The sequence below is a fragment of the Homo sapiens genome, chromosome 8 (assembly GCF_000001405.40).
Source record: "Homo sapiens chromosome 8, GRCh38.p14 Primary Assembly".
Classification (NCBI taxonomy): domain Eukaryota; kingdom Metazoa; phylum Chordata; class Mammalia; order Primates; family Hominidae; genus Homo; species Homo sapiens.
The window spans coordinates 98,245,211-98,267,164 of NC_000008.11; the positions used below are offsets into that span (position 1 = coordinate 98,245,211).

Here is a 21,954-nt window from a genome sequence, read left to right on the forward strand (position 1 = left end):
CCAAACACGTGGACACATCGAGCGTGCTCACAGGCAGAGTCAACTCTAACCATATTGAGGTACTACTACATAATTATCATTCCCCGTTAGTTGTAGAACTTTAGGAAAAGAGGTATGTCAATTACAATGTATTCCATGGAATTAAGATTTGAATATCTGAGGATATGTCAGTTTGAAAAATGTCATCTTACAGCGGGAAAAGTTCTACCATTCATGTTGGCAGGAAGAAAAGTGTCAAGTAATTCATGTTGATTAAAAAAATTGCTATTGTCATTTACTGAAGATAATGAAGGAACTGTCGTTCAGAGACAATTTGCATAATTTCAAACGAGGGAACTTACCTGGATTAAGAACAATAATCCTTTCTTTTCTACATTTTTCTTGGCATGCGTTAATGTTAAAGTTGAAAAGACTCCAAAAAAGTAAAAATACTACCACTGACTAGATTAATTCTGTATTACAAATTTAATTGTGTGTTACTTCATCATTAGCAGCCTCTCTAGAAATACTCTTGTGGCATGCTGAAAAAATAAGGATGAGTGGAAAAGATGTTTCAAATAAAGTGTTTAGGCTTCAGGAATGCTTTCTGCTGAGCGTATATGAGCAGACATAGATTAAAACTTCAGAGTTTTATTTCACACATTTTATGTAGGCTGGTTTTTGGACAAACACGCAAAAGCAGATAACTCATCAAGCCACTAAGAAAAGTGATATTTTCTGCATATCTTGAACATTAAAATCAATGTCCGTGTGAAGTGACACTATCACAGGCATCCTGTGAGGTTTTAGAGTTCCGGTGACCTCATCCAGGCTGGCAGTAAGCACACTGCTCTAAGGGACAAAGAGAATTCGCAGCATCTAGGTTTGTGTAACGCTATGGGTCACTTGCTCATTGGTCTGTTTATGTTTCCTTTCATTTGTTTCTAATAAAAATCTTGGAGACCAAAGTTTCTCCTTGACATGATTTCTTTGGAATTCCAAAAGGCCTCACCAGGGCTTCCTGGCTCTGCTATGACCGTCGTCTAATGGATTACAGATACATTTCAGTTTAGGGCTTCATAACAGCACCACAGAAATACACAAAACAACATGTATTCCACATCATGAATTTTGATTTGAGCAAAAACCAGCATATTGGGGAAAATTAGAGATGGAAAAGACTTATCAGACTCATGCTCTCCTCATTTTCTCAGTGCAGTTAGCTCTCCAACCTTAATACAAATTAGCTCAGTAACAGTGCGACTACTTCTCTTAGGAACTTACTCTAGGGCCATGGAGATCTTGCTGCTATTATCTTTCCATACAAAATTTCAAGTGCTTAATTTAATATAATTTATCCCAAAGTCAATCTATTTATTACTCATTTCCATTCAGCTGGGCAATGATTGAGGTAATGAGTTTATGTGTCTCATACCTGGCATAGTGGATGCTCATTCAATATTAGTTTCTTACCTTTATTACTTTGTCTAAAGTATTGCCCGAATTTAACTTGGAAAAAGCTGATATGTTCTTGCACTCTTTTCTAGTTACTTTTAATCAATATACTCAGAGGCATAGAACTGAAAAATGTCACCGGTGCTTCCATCACATTCTATTTCTCCCTCCCTCCCTCCTTGCCCCTGCAATGATCTCCCTCCATATCCCACTTCCTTGCCGCCCCATAGACAAGTTAATTTTATACTGAGAGAAGTCTGCCATGAAGCTATTTAATTCCATGTGGCTTCAATTCTTTGGATTGTTGATAACTTCATTGTTTTTAATCATCTCTAAATGTTTAGGCATAGCATAGATCACAGTCATGGGGATAAACAGAAAAAGGAAAACATTAAATGTAAGCCCACGCTTTGGAGATGCACAAATAACTGAACTCAATCCCCAAAGGACAGGCTTATAGACCTATGAGTGTTCACAAGCATGAATATTCATGAGTCTCTTGCAATGAACTGTTTAACCACCGTGCTTCATTAGGAATTGAAATCTTTTAAGCAAGTATTTATCTCTTCCAACACCCTAGAACGGAACATCCTATCCTTGTTTTGTCAAAATTCAAATTTGAACCAATTCTGCAGGCTGCATTTTGTGATTTCCCCGTGCTGTGCTCTCCCAGGAAGGGCAAATGTCAAGCAACGAGACACACAGTCAGTCACCAGTCCCCTGGGTCTCAGTTAAATGGTGAGGAAGGACATGAAACAGGTCATTGTGCGCATGCTGAGAGGTGCCAAAGGGGAAGTGTAGGGCAGGGTTGCTGTGTGTGGTTGGGCGGGCTGTGTAAGTTTTGCAATGCAGAGAGTCTCCACATCTGAGGTGGCACCACCCGCATCTCACACCTTGTTGATTTGTGTATTTCTCAGCACAATTCTCTGACAGATGGTCCCAGATTGTCCTGCTCTAACAAAATTAATGTATTACAATCATTTGCAGACAGACAGAAATAAAGTATTTTGAGAAAGGGCTCCCTTTTTCTAATTCACAAAACGGCACCACACAGATGAGAGGAGGGCCTGCGTAGGGTGTGAAGAGAGCAGAGAGTAAGTCTGTTTAATTACCTTAGTCTGAAAGCCAGGGAAGGCCTCTTGAGCAAGGGTTTACCTGAGACAAGAAGGATTAGCAGCAGTTTGAAATTTTATTACAAACTCCACAGAATATCTAACCTATTTCTTTGTACTGGATTTCTGGTATATTAATAGTTTCCCAGAAAACGTATCCTCAAATCACAGTTGATCTGAAAGGAATCTGCCATTCGGCCTCTCTGTAGTTAATGAACAAGAGAACACAAGTGCTTTGAAGCCAGAGCAAGAAGATGGAAAACCGTATATACATCTAGCTTGCTAAGCATTTCCTCTGACAAACTCCTGTATTGGTTTTTAAAATGTATTTCGTGTTGGTAGGTTATTTGGAAATTCTTCTATTTTCCACCGTGTTTTGGTAGGGAATATGTGAAGGAGTTGAAGGGTAATTGCTACTTAATTAGATGAAAAATGAGCTGTGAGGATCCTACTTTATTGCTCTCTGTAAATTTAGCCACTGCATAGATGAGAACAATAAAAAGCCTTTCTTGAATTGGTTTCTCCATTTTAGAGAATTTAACCATCAGCCATCTTTGGAGGCATGGAAGTATGCTCCATTATAAAGAATAAGGTATTTTATTTATCTACACGATAATAATTACAAATCATAGTGACAATAGCCAGTGTTGTCATTATGTCAAATACTATCTAACCAATACCAACACTGTCCTTAGATGTTTGAGTTTACTCAGTTCTTCTGCACAATGACCTCTCATATGGGAACTACTTTCATTCCCACTTTACAGGCTAGGGATCTGAGGCATAAATTGGTTTTAATAATTTGCCTAAGGTCACAGAGCTTGCCAATGGCAGAACTGATATTTGAACCCTGGCGGTGTGGCCCTAGAGCTCTTGACCTTTCTGCTGCCCTGGTTTATTTGGACGAGTATTGAACCTAGCCTCTAGGTGAAATTGAAAATCATTAATTAAGCTTTGTGAATTAATGGAAACACTAATCCACATCTAGAATTAACCACACTGCTAGTAAAACTAGCATTTTAGTCAGAATAGATTTTGGACGTATTATTCATTGAGAAAGACTTCCAGTGAGAAAAATAAAGTAAAATTAAAAGATGACACAAGGATACAAAGGTTCTGACTCTCTCAAAAAGCTGGACCCAGGCCTGGGCATCCCTGTGCACTGAGATCTTTCCCCATTGTGCCGTCTTCACAGTGAAGCATAGACGGGTTATTTAGGCTGAGTCTCTAGCACAATGTGACTGCCTGTGAGCTTTGCCTTAAGAATTCCCTAAAGGGTTTTCTGCAGAACTGCTGTCCCTTGAGATACAATCAAGGGAATCTCAGATGTGTTCAGTATGTTTTGGAGACCTGGCGTACTGCATCTGCCCCTCAAAGATTCATAGTGTGCATAGGCCTGTTTTAGGGCCCCAAGAAGCTCTACACTAATGAAACCTGTGTCGCCTTTAAAACCCCAAATTGCAGAATCCTGTTTGATTATGGAATTCTTTGTTTCTTAGAACACCTATGAATCTACCTGTAAAACTAATGTTGGACAAATGCTGCCTGAAGCTGAGCACGTCAGTGAGGAACAGCAGGACACACAGAGAGAGGGAAAGAAAGCACAGAAGAAAGATGCTTCAAGAAAGGAAAACATGGGTAGAGGGCAAGTTGAAATGCCTATATTGCTAACTGTGGTGCTTCTTACAAATGAGTCCTATATATGACTAGTATATGTCAGACATATGTCATATATGACATACATGTCATATATGTCATACGTATATACATGTCAATCATATGACATGTATACTTTAATTGAACACATATTCAATTAATATATTATCTATTAATATGTAACTATATTTAATATATATTAAATGTATAACATAATACAATTTAATATAATTATATTAAATATAATTAATATATTAAATATATATTAAAGATAATCAATATAATTATATTAAATATATTAAACATAATCAATAAAATTATATTTACATTATTTAATACAAATATATTAAATATCATATATTTAATATAATTATATATAATATATAATCGAATATATTACACTCAAAGTATACAAATATATATTATACTCAAAGTACACAAAAGGAGCAGAAATTTTGATTATGTGAGACAAAATAGCAAGTCTGGTATATTAGCAATCATCAGTGTAGTAAAACTAGTCCACATGTTTACCCGCACAGTCTCTCCCTGCTTCTGGAAAGGAAAAATGGAGCGCAATGTGTTGGTGTGAACCAGACTGTCTAAGGAGAGGGAGGAAGATGAAAGACTTAAGGGACTTAACACACTTGGACTTAAGGACTAAAACTATTGTAAGTGTTCTGGATTTTAATAGTCTCTCTCTCTCTCTGTCTCCTACTCTTAGAAAAGCAACAAAAGATAGAAGAAAAATCAGAAAAGAATATGCAATTTCCCAAGCAACACTGCAATAGGTTTTATTTTTTATTAAAATTCAACGGGAGATTTGATTTCTTAAAGCTCCCAATAAATGATACAGAAAAAAAGTTATAACATAGGAAAGTGTGGATTTTCTGCTTCATCTGTAGACACAGACATAAGAGACATCTGGTTTATACTTTCCCTTTTCCTTCAAATTCTCTAGAGTTTCTAGAGTCTTTATAAAGAATCTCAGGGTAGCAGGGGTTTGTTCTAGGGAAAATCCTCCATCACCAGCAGTCCCTCACCCACCCACAAAGCTTTACAATGACTTAAATCCAGCTCAGGACTGCCGTGGGAATACTATTTATGAACATACATTACTGTGTGCAAAGATTGTAAAGTAGGAAATGAGTTGTGTTTGAGGCTGTAAGTTCACATCTTTGAATCACTTCAGATGGACAGAGAGGGAGGTAGCTAAAAATGTTCTGAAGCTGAAACATTAATTGGGGCTAACAGCACACAAAGAAAAATAATCTGTAGCATGAAGAAAAAGCCCATCTGTCAAGGCAGTGGGCTCAGAGTTTTAAGGTGGGTGGACCAGCTCACAGAGGACTTGGGGAGAATAGGACATTCTTTCTGAGTGGAAGATTGGAAAGCTTCAGCTTTCAGGTTTCGATGAGAGCTTGGATCAAGTCTTGCCAAGGTGGGCAGACTCACAGGCAGCTTCACTGAAGGTCTAGGAAGGGTGCCACTGCTGACCCTGAAGTGCTGAAAACTGCCCCATTCTCACTTCAGGCCCCATGAGGTCTGGCTATATCGCATTTCTGTGAAATCTCTGATCTTTACAATATTTCCCCTTTGTTTGAACCACCTGAGGTAGCACCCTTTTTCTTATATCCCACTCCCGCAAAAGGCTTCCCAGGACCAGGACACATGAGATAAATGGAGAATTTCAATACGATATGGTGCACTCACCACCAGCCTTCCCCAGTTATCTATCTAATATGCCTGGACACATTTTTCTCTGGCTATTTCATGGAAACGGCATAAAGTAAGGAAAAAAACTAAAGATCAGCATGACATACACTGTCATTATGGAGAATAAAACAACATTTTCAAGACAGCAGGAGTCTGGAGGGATCCCAAGTTCATCATATAACTAGATCTTTTATCTGTTATTTCCCAGATTTTGAAAACATAAAACGTCTAAAATGTCTATGTACATGTTAGTGGTTTACTAAATAGAAAGTGAGGTTTACCCAATTTGCTTATTCTATTGGAATGTTAAAAACAGTAAATGATTACATAAATTGTGTGCCTCTTCGGAGTAGTAACAGGATGGCTCTTTTAAGTAGGCAATTTCTAGAAAGCAAAGTAAGTGTTTTTTGCTAAATATTCTATTAGACCTCATTAAAGTATTTTAAATAAAATATTTTAAATGATTGAGATAAATGACTTACAAAATAAAATTCTCTTCGAATCTACATCGTTTCAGTTTAAATGATGTTTTCTTTAAGAATATCATATAGTTGTTTAGGAGGAACATTTAAATTGGGATATGTAAACATGTGATATGCTTGATCTAGTTGTTAACAGCTAATGACTATCAATTTGTTTCTCTTTCAATGAAGTTCTAAATTCACGCAAATTTAGAAACATTCTGTTTCCATAGCAGCAGATAAAGAGTAAAACCAAAAAGATTTTATTGATTTTAACAGGGCTTAGAGAATTTGTTCTCCTTTTTAGCAATGATTTTTGCTCATTTTTTTCAGTCTTTCACATCTCATTTTTTCTTTTCTAAATGTATTTAGTAAATTACATAAAATTTCAAAGTAGATATTTGTGACATTACTGTAAAATTACACATTCTTATAGTAATGTAGACTAACCAATATTTAATTCTTAATGTCAAAGAGATACTAAACTATGAAGTCAAGACCAGGCATCAAAGACTCTAACTACAGGCATTATCAGTTTAACATATGAATAAAACATTGCATTACAAATGCTTTTAGGTAACTCATTAATGATTACAAGCACAGTATAACATCTTCTGTCACCGTTAATTTATTAAGACTCAGGCATCAGGCTTTCACACATAGGTGTTAGAGTCACAAAATGCAAGTTTCTTCATGGTTAATGTGACAGCATGACAATGGATCGCTGAAATTAGCAGAATAATTGTTCCATGTTAACGTGATAAGAAACCAGGCAATAGACTTTCTTCTTTGGTGCATTTGTTGTTTCAGTTGTGTGTTTTTCTCCGATTATTCTGCTCTTTAAGTTTCTATTTGTCAAAATACAGAATGGCTTACCTGTAACAGACACACAGCCTAACGGAGCGATCAGAGTAATGGGAGCAAATCCATAGGCTGCAAAGTTCCCCGTCTCTCCCACGGCCATCAGCAGGACACCACCCCACCACAGCACACTCTTGAAGTATGGCCTTGGGTGCTCTTGTTGTGCCAGCTGAAGGTGAGAATATTTCTGAAAGTAAATCAGAAGACAAATAAGAAAACATTCTGAGCTATGAGGGGAATGCCACTTTTTTTCTTTTGTATTCCTTTAATTCTTTTTATAAGAACGCTAATTTATTTTTGTATTTTTTTTTAAGAACGAATACATTTTTGGGGAATTATTGAAAATTATATTAGGTCATTTTCTAGCAAAGATTTGTATAAACAAATATAGTAGTTACCCCCCGATCCACGGATTCATTTTCCGTGGTTTCAATTACCCATGGTCAGAAAATATTAGATGGAAAATTCCAGAAATAAACATTTCATACATTTTAAATTGCATGCTTTTCTGAGTAGCAGGATGAAATCTCTTGCTGTCCTGCTTGGTATGTGAATCCTCCTTTTGTCCAACGTATCCATGCTGCAGATGCTCCCTGTCCCTTGGTCATTCAGTGGCCCTCTCGGTTATCAGATCAGCTGTTGCAGTAGCACAGTGCTTGTGTTCAAGTAACCCTTATTTTACTTACTTGTTCTATTTTATTATTAGTTATTGTTGTTAATCTTTTACTGTGCCTAAGTTATAAATTAAATGTGATCATAGGTATGTATGTATAGGAAAAACATAGTATATACTGAATAGGGTTCAGTATTAGCTCTCGTTTCAGACATCCACTGGGAGTCTTGCAATGCATTCCCTGAGGATAAGAGGGAATTACCATATAACATCCTGGGAGATATTTTGATGCTCAGGTTTATTTTGATTCAAATCGTTTTAAAGACTGCACTAATTTGATTCTATTTAAAAGTGATTCATGAAATGATTTAAAATTTTTTATTTAATTCATGATTTGGTTAAAAATTCATATTTCATTCAGTTTGCAGTTTAGCAAATCAGCGATTTATTCATGTTTCTAATTCATGTTCAGTTATAGTTCCTATTTTGTATTCTACATTCTTTCCTCAAGACCATTAGTCTATAGTGGCATATTTAACAGTATTTTAAAGAAAGGGGAAAAAAACCCTATAATCTGTACTTTCATGAACTGCTTCTAAAAAGTGTCCGAATCCCATCTGGGGTAAAGGCTATGGAAGAAATCAAAGTACTGCAAATCAAACCAGTGCTATTTATCCATTAGACACCGTCGGCCCCTTACCTAGGGTCTACAATACTGTCAGAGACCACTCCATCCTGCAAAATTAATTTCTTTTAAAATCAGAAGAAGAAGAGGAAAAATGAATGCACTCCAGCCTGAATTATATTTGTGTTTATACCAATGAGGTCATAAAATATATATTTTTTATAATTTTTATGGAGAAAAGAGCCACAAAGACAAAAGTGCCCAATGCCCATGAGAGTCATAATGTGTCCCTGGATCAATCTATAGTGTTAGAAAAATAAGCTTTTTTCTTACCTGAATATTTAGAGAAATACTGATCACCAAGTTTCCTAAAATAGCCAGCAAAACTCCAAAAAGGTGAATCTGTAAAAGAAAATGTTTTCCTTAAATAATACTTGTAAGATATTTACTGGAAGAAAAAAGACAAATTTAGGTGTTCATTCATTTGTTCAGTAATTCAGCTTTAGCCTAGCACCCATTTCCCAGGGTAGGTTTGGGATATTAATAGGATTTAATTAGAATTAGTTTTTCACTTTTTTCGAACACTATTTTTAAGAAATCACTTGGTCCTTTATGAATTCTCTAGATATTTTTCTGCCTCATTTACTAAAATAAATAAAATAGTTAAATAGTTATTCGGGTTTTTCCAATCAAGATGCTGCTTCTTACGTATCCTTTCTTTTTATTTTCTTTTCTCTAATATCTTTTGGAGGACTGTGATATGAAAGAAAGATCATCGGACTACAAGGTAAAGGATAAATCTGAGACACAGATTTGCTCTTTTCTAACTGGGTGACCTTTTGAGCAAGTTATTTCACTTCTCTGGCCTAAGTAAAAATGGGATATTGGATAAGATGTTTCCAGAAATCCCTTACTTCTAAGGTTCTATGATCTCCACTGGAGATGGGCTAAATTTTCCTACTACTCCCCTGGTCAAAAACCTAAAATGATTCTCTGCAGTCTACTATATCAAACAATAAACTGCTATACCAGCTCACCACAATTAGTCCTCACCCAGGCCTCTGTCCATGACTTACTTTTAATGTGCTTCCTCTATCTCAGGTATGTGGCACGCGCCATCCTCTAGCCAGATGTGACACTTTCTCATGCCACTGCTCTCCTAGGTCATGCAGGTATGCCTCTCACTCACTCCAACCAAACCTCGCCCTCCTGGCCTGCAGAGGTACATCTCCTTGAGACCTCCTCAGACCACCTTGGCCCACCTTGACTTTCTCAGATTCTAAGTGGTAAGCCTCCCTTATTTACTCTTTTATATTATCATGTTTGCTCAAATTCTCTGAGGGAAAAGAACCAAGTCTTATGCTTCTTTCTATTGGGTCTTCTGCTTCTTTCTATTGGGTCTTCTGCATCATCTACTGCTATATAAAATTGAAGATTTAATAAACACCTGCTTGAAAAAATATATAATCGTGTAACACAAGAACTATAGATGTTAAAAGGTAAGTTCTTACACGTTGCCCAAGATGTTTATCATAGATAGCTCATGTATTATTTAACGATTTCAAAAGATGCATTTGTTGCTCCCATCTAGGTCCAAAAGTATAATATCTGCTATTAGTGTAAATTAGCAATGATACAAAGGATCATCTCCCTCTTATTCTACAGCACATAACTTCTAGCTAGCTTCAAATTCCAAGAAGTTATTTGAATTTCAAATGAGCATTGCAACCACAAAGAACCCTTTTCAGAATGCAAAATGTCTTTGAAGTTTTAGAGCTTTATTATATGTGATTTTTGTAGCAATAAGACACCAAATTCCAGCCTGACTCAAGTATAGCATGAAATTTAGTATTTAGAAATGAAATTTAGTATTTTTTAAATGAAGTAAAAAGTGGAAAACTCATTATATAGTTGATATATAATATCCATATTCTTTAATCAGTTAAGAATTTTCTTTTCCTAATAGAGGCACTTGGTAATAATTTTGATCACTATCCCTCATGGGGAAACAATTGAGGCACAATGCAATGTACTATTTCCATGCTTGCTATTTACATCTAATGTACTTGGCATTAATCAGGAAAATGAAGACTGAGAAAAAAATTTGGCCATGAATGGATATTTATTAACATCTCCCATAATTATAAAAGTACATTGTTGAATAGAAATAACTTACTTTAAAATTCTTTAAGTCATTCACTGAGCAGTTTAAATGGCTTCAGGCTGGGTATTCAAAAATTGGTGGCAGGATTTGGCAATAATTTCTTGGATATGACACCAAAGCATAGGCATTGAAAAAAATAGATAAATTGTACTTCATCAAGATTAAAAACTTATTTTTTTTTTTTGAGACAGAATCTCGCTCTGTCACCCAGGCCAGAGTGCAGTGGCATGACCTCGGCTCACTGCAGTCTCTGCCTCCTAGAGGTAGAGGTTCAAGCGATTCTCGTGCCTCAGCCTCCCCAGTAGCTGGAACCACAGGCGTGCACCACCACACCCAGCAAATTTTTGTATTTTTAGTAGAGACGGCATTTCGCCATGTTGGTCAGGCTGGTCTCGAATTCCTGACTTCAAGTGATCTGCCTGCCTCAGCTCCCAAAGTGCTGGGATTACAGGCATGAGCCACCATGCCTGGCTGAGATTAACAACTTTTTGCATCAACACACACTATCAACAGAGTGAAAGGCAACCCATGGAATGAGAGAAAATATTTGCAAATCATATATCTGGATTGAGATCCAGAATATTTAAAGAATGCCTACAATTCAACAACAAAAACATCCTGATTAAAAAATGGGCAAAGGACTTGAATAGCTGTTTCTCCAAGAAGACACACAAATGGCCAATAAACACATGAAAAGATTCTCAGCATCACTAATCATTAGGAAAATGCAAATCAAAACCACAGTGAGTCACTACTTCACATCCAGTAGGATGGCTATAATTAAAAAAAAAAAGAGAAAAGAAGTGTTAGCAAAGATGGGGAGAAACTGGAACACTTGTGCATTGCTGGTGGGAATGTAAAATGCTGCAGCCACTGTGGAAAATGGCGTGGAGATTCCTCAAAATTAAACACAGGATTACCATATGGTCTAGCAATTCCACTTTTTGGTACATATCCAAAAGAACTCAAAACAGGGATTTGAACAGATATTTGTACACTTATATTCAATAATAGCAGCATTATTCATAATAGCCAAAAGGTGGAAAAAACCTGTGTCCCTCAATGGATGAATGCATAAACAACATAGAGTACATATATATAATGGAATATTATTCAGCCTTAAAAAGGAAGGAAATTTCAATATACACTACAACATGGATGAACCTTATAAACCAAAAATAAAATTCTAAGCCCCTCAACTGACTGGTGGACCCTCCCCTAGGCCAAAGGCATTCCAAAGTTAACCTGAAAAACTAATTTAGGCCATGATGGGAAGTGGGGGTTGGGACATACCTCATTATACCCTCCTTCCTTTAGAATTAGGGCACAGCTGACCAGCATTAACATTAAAACAAAGATCTGAAGACTGACAAAACAGACTTTTTATAGCAATAAGACACCAAATTCCAGCCTGACTCTAGTATAGCATCACATGACAGATAGCAGGCCCTGAAAGGAATCAAAGTATTTTACCCCTATATATTTTTTTCTTTCTTTCTTTTTTTTTTTTTTTTTTTGAGATGGAGTCTCGCTCTGTCACCAGGCTGGAATACAGTGGCATGATCTCAGCGGCTAATTTTTGTATTTTTAGTAGAGACAGGGTTTCACCATGTTGGCCAGGATGGTCTCGATCTCTTGACCTCATGATCTGCCCGCCTTGACCTACCTAAGTGCCGGGATTACGGGTGTGAGCCACCACACCCGGCCTATTTCTTTGACATATTTTGAAATGGCCCTGCAAAGCTGTCTCTTATGGGGAAAATCAATGTTCTGTAGAGAATCTCCATCCTTTTCCAGGTCTTTTCCCTGATCCAGGAGAGAATTTACTAAGACTCAGGCACCTTTTTAGGTCTGATGAGAGCTCTGAAGCCTGCTACCCAGAGGCTTCATCTGCATAATAGAACCATGGTCTCCACAACCCAGATATTCCCCTTCTATTGATTCCAGGTCTTTAGATAATAACTCTTTCAACCAATTGCCAATCAGAAAAGCTTGAATTCACCCATGACCTGGAAGCCCCCACTTCCAGTTGTTCCGCCTTTCTAGACGGAACCAATGCACATCTTATGTGTATTGATTGATGTCTTATATCTCCCTAAAATGTATAAAACCAAACTGTGGCCTGACCACTTGGGCACATGTTCTCATAATCTCCTGGAGCTGTGCCATAGGCCATTGGTCACTCATATTTGGCTCAGAATAAATCTCCTCAAATATTTTACAGAGTTTGACTACTTTTGTCTACAACCTTGAAGACATAATGCTAAGTGAAATCAGCCAATCACAAAAGAACAAATCTTGTGTGATTCCACTTACATGAGGTATCTCAGATAGTCAAATTCATGAAGATAGAAAGTAGAATGGTGGTTGCCAGAGTTGGGGGAGGGAAGAATGGGGAGTTTGTGTTTAATGGGTATAAAGCTGGGATAGATGAAAAAATTCTGGAGGTGGATATGATGACAGCTGTACATCAATGACAATGTGCTTAGTGCCACAGAAGTGTACACTTACAAATGGCAAAATTTTATATTACTTATATTTTATAACAATACAAAATTGGTGGTGAAGTAAGTCAGAGTGTGCTTTGACTTGGAGAAGTAAGGAAAAACTCACCTGCTGCAGAATAGATCCCTGGCCCAGGGTCAACAGTGTTAAAGCCAACTAAATATGGCCTGAGAAGGACTCCGTACTTCTACATTTGAGTCCTTGTGGATGAACTGTAACCCAACTTAGTGGGTAACAAGACTGAAACCCGAACTTAGGAGTATGTGCCTGTAAAAATAGGTGAGTCTTGGCCAATACCAGAAGCCATACTTCAACCAGTCATATGCTTCTGAGTGTTCAAACTGTGTTCAAATAAGGTAAATGACAATCTGTAACCAATTCAGCTATTTCTCTATCTCACCTCTGATTTCTATATGCCACTTCCCTTTTTTTTTTGTCTATAAATTTGTTCTGACCACAAGGCATCCCTGGAGATTCTTTGAATCTGCTGTGATTCTGGGGGCTGCCCGACTCCTGAATCATTCGTTACTTAATTAAGCGCCTTTAAATTCAATTCAGCTGAAGTTTTTCTTTTAACAGTCTGCGTATTAAAAAAAATGGTGGCAGGATTTGGCAATAATTTCTTGGCTATGACACCAAATACACAGGCCACAAAATAAAAAAATACATAATTTTTCATCAAGACAGCATTATGCTGCTGTTCCTTTAAATATTCCTTTTTTTTTTTTTTTTTTTTTTTTGAGACGGAGTTTCGCTCTGTCGCCCAGGCTGGAGTGCAGTGGCGCGATCTCGACTCACTGCAAGCTCCGCCTCCCGGGTTCACGCCATTCTCCTGCCTCAGCCTCCCGTGTAGCTGGGACTACAGGCGCGCGCCACCATGCCCGGCTAATTTTTGTATTTTTAGTAGAGACGGGGTTTCACCGTGTTAGCCAGGATGGTCTCGATCTCCTGACCTCGTGATCCGCCCGTCTCGGCCTCCCAAAGTGCTGGGATTACAGGCGTGAGCCACCGCACCCGGCCTCCTTTAAATATTCTTCTCACAGGTTTATTTTTGCCCAAAGCAGGTATTCCTGGAAAGGTATAAACTATTACATTATTAATATCTTAATGTATCAGACAAGTTATTTGAAAGTAATCAGAGTATGGCAGATTGCAAAAATGGACACAATTCCTTACTCCTCCCTATATCCGTGCCCTTGGCCAGGTAGTCTTGTACCTCCACCTGTTAGGAAAAACAGTCTATTTCCCTATCCCTTGAATTCAGGCTACAAATGCAGCGAAAGTACGCTAGTTCCAAGACTAGGCCTCAAAAAGTATTGCACGCCTCTGGTTATGAAATATTTTGAGAACAAGCCCAGGCTAGCCTGCTGGGTGATGACAGATGGGGACACACACAACCCTGCTGTGCTTGTGTCTATGGCCTTAATCAATAGTCAATGTCCAACCCCAGAGGGGGGCCATCCCTAGAGCACCCAGCCCCCAGCTGACATACCAGCTGGCTGCAGAGGCATGAATGAACCCAGGTGGACTCAGCCAAGTCTGACCCATATCAATGAACCCCCAGCTGACGAATTGATTCCAAAGCACTCATTGATGGTTGTAATTTTAAACCACAAAACTTTAGGATGATTTATTACACAACAAGAAATAATAGACTAAGGTTGACTAAGAAGGTGAGAGAGTGGAGTGCGGATACTGTGGATCACTTACAGTGAGAAGAAGGGGGTACAAAAAAAGGTGAGATATTTTGCTGAGGGTTACCATGGCATAGAGGCAGCAAGCTATTGTAAAAGTCAGACCAAAAGGCGCTGTTCCAAAAGTCAGGAGACCTGTCCCTGACAGGTATTCACTATAAGTGACCCCTGCAAAGCCATTATCTTCTTTGACTCTCAGTTTTCTCAATTGTAAGATGAAAACAATACCAAGATGGCCGAATAGGAACAGCTCCGGTCTACAGCTCCCAGTGTGAGCGACGCAGAAGACGGTGATTTCTGCATTTCCATCTGAGGTACCGGGTTCATCTCACTAGGGAGTGCCAGACAGTGGGCGCAGCTCAGTGGGTGCGCGCACCGTGTGCGAGCCGAAGCAGGGCGAGGCATTGCCTCACTTGGGAAGCGCAAGGGGTCAGGGAGTTCCCTTTCCGAGTCAAAGAAAGGGGTGACGGACGGCACCTGGAAAATCGGGTCACTCCAACCCGAATACTGCGCTTTTCCGACGGGCTTAAAAAACGGCGCACCACGAGATTATATCCTGCACCTGGCTCGGAGGGTCCTACGCCCACGGAGTCTCGCTGATTGCTAGCACAGCAGTCTGAGATCAAACTGCAAGGCGGCAGCGAGGCTGGGGGAGGGGTGCCCGCCATTGCCCAGGCTTGATTAGGTAAACAAAGCAGCCGGGAAGCTCCAACTGGGCGGAGCCCACCACAGCACAAGGATGCCTGCCTGCCTCTGTAGGCTCCACCTCTGGGGGCAGGGCACAGACAAACAAAAAGACAGCAGTAACCTCTGCAGACTTAAATGTCCCTGTCTGACAGCTTTGAAGAGAGCAGTGGTTCTCCCAGCACGCAGCTGGAGATCTGAGAACGGGCAGACTGCCTCCTCAAGTGGGTCCCTGACCCCTGACCCCTGAGCAGCCTAACTGGGAGGCACCCACCAGCAGGGCACACTGACACCTCACACGGCAGGGTATTCCAACAGACCTGCAGCTGAGGGTCCTGTCTGTTAGAAGGAAAACTAACAAACAGAAAGGACATCCACACCAAAAACCCATCTGTACATCACCATCATCAGAGACCAAAAGTAGATAAAACCACAAAGATGGGGAAAAAACAGAACAGAAAAACTGGAAACTCTAAAAAGCAGAGTGCCTCTCCTCCTCCAAAGGAACGCAGTTCCTCACCAGCAACGGAACAAAGCTGGATGGAGAATGACTTTGACGAGCTGAGAGAAGAAGGCTTCAGACGATCAAATTACTCTGAGCTACGGGAGGACATTCAAACCAAAGGCAAAGAAGTTGAAAACTTTGAAAAAAATTTAGAAGAATGTATAACTAGAATAACCAATACAGAGAAGTGCTTAAAGGAGCTGATGGAGCTGAAAAACAAGGCTCGAGAACTACGTGAAGAATGCAGAAGCCTCAGGAGCCGATGCGATCAACTGGAAGAAAGGGTATCAGCAATGGAAGATGAAATGAATGAAATGAAGCGAGAAGGGAAGTTTAGAGAAAAAAGAATAAAAAGAAATGAGCAAAGCCTCCAAGAAATATGGGACTATGTGAAAAGACCAAATCTACGTCTGATTGGTGTACCTGAAAGTGATGGGGAGAATGGAACCAAGTTGGAAAACACTCTGCAGGATATTATCCAGGAGAACTTCCCCAACCTAGCAAGGCAGGCCAACGTTCAGATTCAGGAAATACAGAGAACACCACAAAGATACTCCTCGAGAAGAGCAACTCCAAGAAACATAATTGTCAGATTCACCAAAGTTGAAATGAAGGAAAAAATGTTAAGGGCAGCCAGAGAGAAAGGTCGGGTTACCCTCAAAGGGAAGCCCATCAGACTAACAGCGGATCTCTCGGCAGAAACCCTACAAGCCAGAGGAGAGTGGGGGCCAATATTCAACATTCTTAAAGAAAAGAATTTTCAACCCAGAATTTCATATCCAGCCAAACTAAGCTTCATAAGCGAAGGAGAAATAAAATACTTTACAGACAAGCAAATGCTGAGAGATTTTGTCACCACCAGGCCTGCCCTAAAAGAGCTCCTGAAGGAAGCGCTAAACATGGAAAGGAACAACCGGTACCAGCCGCTGCAAAATCATGCCAAAATGTAAAGACCATCAAGACTAGGAAGAAACTGCATCAACTAACGAGCAAAATAACCAGCTAACATCATAACGACAGGATCAAATTCACACATAACAGTATTAACTTTAAATGTAAATGGACTAAATGCTCCAATTAAAAGACACAGACTGGCAAATTGGATAAAGAGTCAAGACCCATCAGTGTGCTGTATTCAGGAAACCCATCTCACGTGCAGAGACACACATAGGCTCAAAATAAAAGGATGGAGGAAGATCTACCAAGCAAATGGAAAACAAAAAAAGGCAGGGGGTGCAATCCTAGTCTCTGATAAAACAGACATTAAACCAACAAAGATCAAAAGAGACAAAGAAGGCCATTACATAATGGTAAAGGGATCAATTCAACAAGAAGAGCTAACTATCCTAAATATATATGCACCCAATACAGGAGCACCCAGATTCATAAAGCAAGTCCTGAGTGACCTACAAAGAGACTTAGACTCCCACACATTAATAATGGGAGACTTTAACACCCACTGTCAACATTAGACAGATCAACGAGACAGAAAGTCAACAAGGATACCCAGGAATTGAACTCAGCTCTGCACCAAGCAGACCTAATAGACATCTACAGAACTCTCCACCCCAAATCAACAGAATATACATTTTTTTCAGCACCGCACCACACCTGTTCCAAAATTGACCACATACTTGGAAGTAAAGCTCTCCTCAGCAAATGTGAAAGAACAGAAATTATAACAAACTATCTCTCAGACCACAGTGCAATCAAACTAGAACTCAGGATTAAGAATCTCACTCAAAACCGCTCAACTACATGGAAACTGAACAACCTGCTCCTGAATGACTACTGGGTACATAACGAAATGCAGGCAGAAATAAAGATGTTCTTTGAAACCAACGAGAACAAAGACACAACATACCAGAATCTCTGGGACGCATTCAAAGCAGTGTGTAGAGGGAAATTTATAGCACTAAATGCCCACAAGAGAAAGCAGGAAAGATCCAAAATTGACACCCTAACATCACAATTAAAAGAACTAGAAAAGCAAGAGCAAACACATTCAAAAGCTAGCAGAAGGCAAGAAATAACTAAAATCAGAGCAGAACTGAAGGAAATAGAGACACAAAAGACCCTTCAAAAAATTAATGAATCCAGGAGCTGGTTTTTTGAAAGGATCAACAAAATTGATAGACCGCTAGCAAGACTAATAAAGAAAAAAAGAGAGAAGAATCTAATAGATGCAATAAAAAATGATAAAGGGGATATCACCACCGATCCCACAGAAATACAAACTACCATCAGAGAATACTACAAACACCTCTATGCAAATAAACTAGAAAATCTAGAAGAAATTGATAAATTCCTCGACACATACACTCTCCCAAGACTAAACCAGGAAGAAGTTGAATCTCTGAATAGACCAATAACAGGATCTGAAATTGTGGCAATAATCAATAGTTTACCAACCAAAAAGAGTCCAGGACCAGATGGATTCACAGCTGAATTCTACCAGAGGTACAAGGAGGAACTGGTACCATTCCTTCTGAAACTATTCCAATCAATAGAAAAAGAGGGAATCCTCCCTAACTCATTTTATGAGGCCAGCATCATTCTGATACCAAAGCCAGGCAGAGACACAACAAAAAAAAGAGAATTTTAGACCAATATCCTTGATGAACATTGATGCAAAAATCCTCAATAAAATACTGGCAAAATGAATCCAGCAGCACATCAAAAAGCTTATCCACCATGATCAAGTGGGCTTCATCCCTGGGATGCAAGGCTGGTTCAATATACGCAAATCAATAAATGTAATCCAGCATATAAACAGAGCCAAAGACAAAAACCACATGATTATCTCAACAGATGCAGAAAAAGCCTTTGACAAAATTCAACAACCCTTATGCTAAAAACTCTCAATAAATTAGGTATTGATGGGATGTATGTCAAAATAATAAGAGCTATCTATGACAAACCCACAGCCAATATCATACTGAATGGGCAAAAACTGGAAGCATTCCCTTTGAAAACTGGCACAAGACAGGGATGCCCTCTCTCACCACTCCTATTCAACATAGTGTTGGAAGTTCTGGCCAGGGCAATTAGGCAGGAGAAGGAAATAAAGGGTATTCAATTAGGAAAAGAGGAAGTCAAATTGTCCCTGTTTGCAGACGACATGATTGTATATCTAGAAAACCCCATTGTCTCAGCCCAAAATCTCCTTAAGCTGATAAGCAACTTCAGCAAAGTCTCAGGATACAAAATCAATGTACAAAAATCACAAGCATTCTTATACACCAGCAATAGACAAACAGAGAGCCAAATCATGAGTGAACTCCCATTCACAATTGCTTCAAAGAGAATAAAATACCTAGGAATCCAACTTACAAGGGATGTGAAGGACCTCTTCAAGGAGAACTACAAACCCCTGCTCAAGGAAATAAAAGAGGATACAAACAAATGGAAGAACATTCCATGCTCATGGGTAGGAAGAATCAATATCGTGAAAATGGCCATACTGCCCAAGGTAATTTACAGATTCAATGCCATCCCCATCAAGCTACCAATGCCTTTCTTCATAGAATTGGAAAAAACTACTTTAAAGTTCATATGGAACCAAAAAGGAGCCTGCATTGCCAAGTCAATCCTAAGCCAAAAGAACAAAGCTGGAGGCATCACACTACCTGACTTCAAACTATACTACCAGGCTACAGTAACCAAAACAGCATGGTACTGGTACCAAAACAGAGATATAGATCAATGGAACAGAACAGAGCCCTCAGAAATAACGCCACATATCTACAACTATCTGATCTTTGACAAACCTGAGAAAAACAAGCAATGGGGAAAGGATTCCCTATTTAATAAATGGTGCTGGGAAAACTGGCTAGCCATATGTAGAAAGCTGAAACTGGATCCCTTCCTTACACCTTATACAAAAATCAATTCAAGATGGATTAAAGACTTAAACGTTAGACCTAAAACCATAAAAACCCTAGAAGAAAACCTAGGCATTACCATTCAGGACATAGGCATGGGCAAGGACTTCAGGTCTAAAACACCAAAAGCAATGGCAACAAAAGCCAAAATTGACAAATAGGATCTAATTAAACTAAAGAGCTTCTGCACAGCAAAAGAAACTACCATCAGAGTGAACAGGCAACCTACAGAATGGGAGAAAATTTTCGCAACCTACTCATCTGACAAAGGGCTAATATCCAGAATCTACAATGAACTCAAACAAATTTACAAGAAAAAAACAAACAACCCCATCAAAAAGTGGGCGAAGGACATGAACAGACACTTCTCAAAAGAAGACATTTGTGTAGCCAAAAAACACATGAAAAAATGCTCATCATCACTGGCCATCAGAGAAATGCAAATCAAAACCACAATGAGATACCATCTCACACCAGTTAGAATGGCAATCATTAAAAAGTCAGGAAACAACAGGTGCTGGAGAGGATGTAGAGAAATAGGAACACTTTTACACTGTTGGTGGGACTGTAAACTAGTTCAACCATTGTGGAAGTCAGTGTGGCGATTCCTCAGGGATCTAGAACTGGAAATACCATTTGACCCAGCCATCCCATTACTGGGTATATACCCAAAGGACTATAAATCATGCTGCTATAAAGACACATGCACACGTATGTTTATTGCGGCATTATTCACGATAGCAAAGACTTGGAATCAACCCAAATGTCCAACAATGATAGACTGGATTAAGAAAATGTGGCACATATACACCATGGAATACTATGCAGCCATAAAAAATGATGAGTTCATATCCTTTGTAGGGACATGGATGAAATTGGAAAACATCATTCTCAGTAAACTATCGCAAGAACAAAAAACCAAACACCGCATATTCTCACTCATAGGTGGGAATTGAACAATGAGATCACATGGACACAGGAAGGGGAATATCACACTCTGGGGACTGTTGTGGGGTGGGGGGAGGGGGGAGGGATAGCATTGGGAGATATGCCTAATGCTAGATGGCAACTTAGTGGGTGCAGTGCACCAGCATGGCACATGTATACATATGTAACTAACCTGCACAATGTGCACATGTACCCTAAAACTTAAAGTATAATAAAAAAAAAAAGAAAATGAAAAAAAAAAGTTATATTAGGCTGGACGCAGTGGCTCACACCTGTAATCTTAGCACTTTGGGAGGCTGAGATGGGCGGATTGCCTGAGCTCAGGAGTTTGAGGCTAGCCTGGGCAACACAGTGAAACCCTGTCTCTACTAAAATATAAAAAATTAGCCAGGCATAGCAGCGTGCACCTGCAATCCCAGCTACTCGGGAGCCGAGATCATACCACTGCACTCCAGCCTGGGCAACAGAGCAAGACTCTGTCTCCAAAAAAAAAAAAAAAAAGCCATTCAAAGATTGTGAAGGCCATGTCTAAATCCTGTGATCCAACAATGTGCCCAGTAAGAGAATAAATGGACCTCAAGCGGATGGGCTGATCAAAGAGGGCCAGAATTCACTTGAAAATTCTGAAAGGATCAGAAATTCACCATTACACATGCGAGCAAAAACACCAATTTTATTTTGAAATGAAATAAAATCATGTAAATGCTAAAAAAAAAATAAAGAAAGAAAACAATACCATAAGGAGTTTGGAGACCTAAATGAATGAGGTCCGCTTATGAAACTATGATGCAACATGCTAGTAATCCAAAGTGATAGGCTAAGGTGATACTAAGAGGTAATAATAAAGCTTTATTTTGTTTATCTGTATCTAAAATGACAAAGCAATCATATAAATGGTTCCTTTAAAAAAAAAAAACTGCCAACCTGTTGTTTGGCAGACATAGTAAATGAAGGTTTTGCTGTTTCTTTATTCCCCATTTTTTTTGCCTCAGGGTGTATGCACCAACTTTATGATATGTTATTGCAACATTCATTTTGTTTTCAATAATGTCTTCCAAATCCAATGAATATGGAAAATATTTGTAAGATGTAGGT

At 38.9% G+C, this 21,954-nt stretch overlaps 1 protein-coding gene and 2 long non-coding RNA genes across 11 annotated transcripts in view, besides 2 other annotated features; 2 read left to right on the plus strand and 1 right to left on the minus strand.

Annotated features, from left to right (window-relative positions):
• The window catches only part of NIPAL2-AS1 (NIPAL2 antisense RNA 1), a 72,899-nt gene extending 68,741 nt beyond the window's left edge, over positions 1 to 4,158 (plus strand). Inside the window, exon 3 of the long non-coding RNA XR_928444.3 lies at positions 4,046 to 4,158. This is a non-coding gene — a long non-coding RNA (NIPAL2 antisense RNA 1). The remainder of the gene's footprint in view (positions 1 to 4,045) is intronic.
• NIPAL2 (NIPA like domain containing 2) overlaps positions 1 to 21,954 on the minus strand; it is a 104,410-nt gene that overhangs the window by 55,385 nt on the left and 27,071 nt on the right. For all 9 annotated transcript variants that reach the window (NR_135747.2, NR_135745.2, NR_135746.2 and 6 more), the window contains exons 2-3: positions 8,809 to 8,877; positions 7,253 to 7,424 (exon numbers count right to left, since the gene is read on the minus strand). Coding sequence is in view for 5 of the 9 variants with exons in the window: in NM_001321636.2 (NP_001308565.1) it covers positions 7,253 to 7,424; positions 8,809 to 8,877 (241 nt within the window). In the remaining 4 variants the exon portion in view is untranslated. The remainder of the gene's footprint in view (positions 1 to 7,252; positions 7,425 to 8,808; positions 8,878 to 21,954) is intronic.
• LOC105375659 (uncharacterized) overlaps positions 9,693 to 21,954 on the plus strand; it is a 50,787-nt gene continuing 38,525 nt past the window's right edge. The window contains exon 1 of the long non-coding RNA XR_007061023.1: positions 9,693 to 9,761. This is a non-coding gene — a long non-coding RNA (uncharacterized LOC105375659). The remainder of the gene's footprint in view (positions 9,762 to 21,954) is intronic.
• Positions 14,404 to 15,603: an enhancer, noted in NCBI's record as "MED14-independent group 3 enhancer chr8:99271842-99273041 (GRCh37/hg19 assembly coordinates)". NCBI's record gives its function as "activates an origin of replication core promoter dependent on BRD2, BRD4, P300/CBP and CDK7 cofactors, and independent of MED14, by STARR-seq in HCT116 cells {active_cell/tissue: HCT116}" and the evidence as "EXISTENCE:reporter gene assay evidence [ECO:0000049][PMID:35650434]".
• Positions 14,481 to 15,331: an enhancer, noted in NCBI's record as "NANOG-H3K27ac-H3K4me1 hESC enhancer chr8:99271919-99272769 (GRCh37/hg19 assembly coordinates)". NCBI's record gives its function as "activates a minimal SCP1, AML or CMV promoter by ChIP-STARR-seq in primed H9 embryonic stem cells {active_cell/tissue: H9 hESC(primed)}" and the evidence as "EXISTENCE:reporter gene assay evidence [ECO:0000049][PMID:30033119]".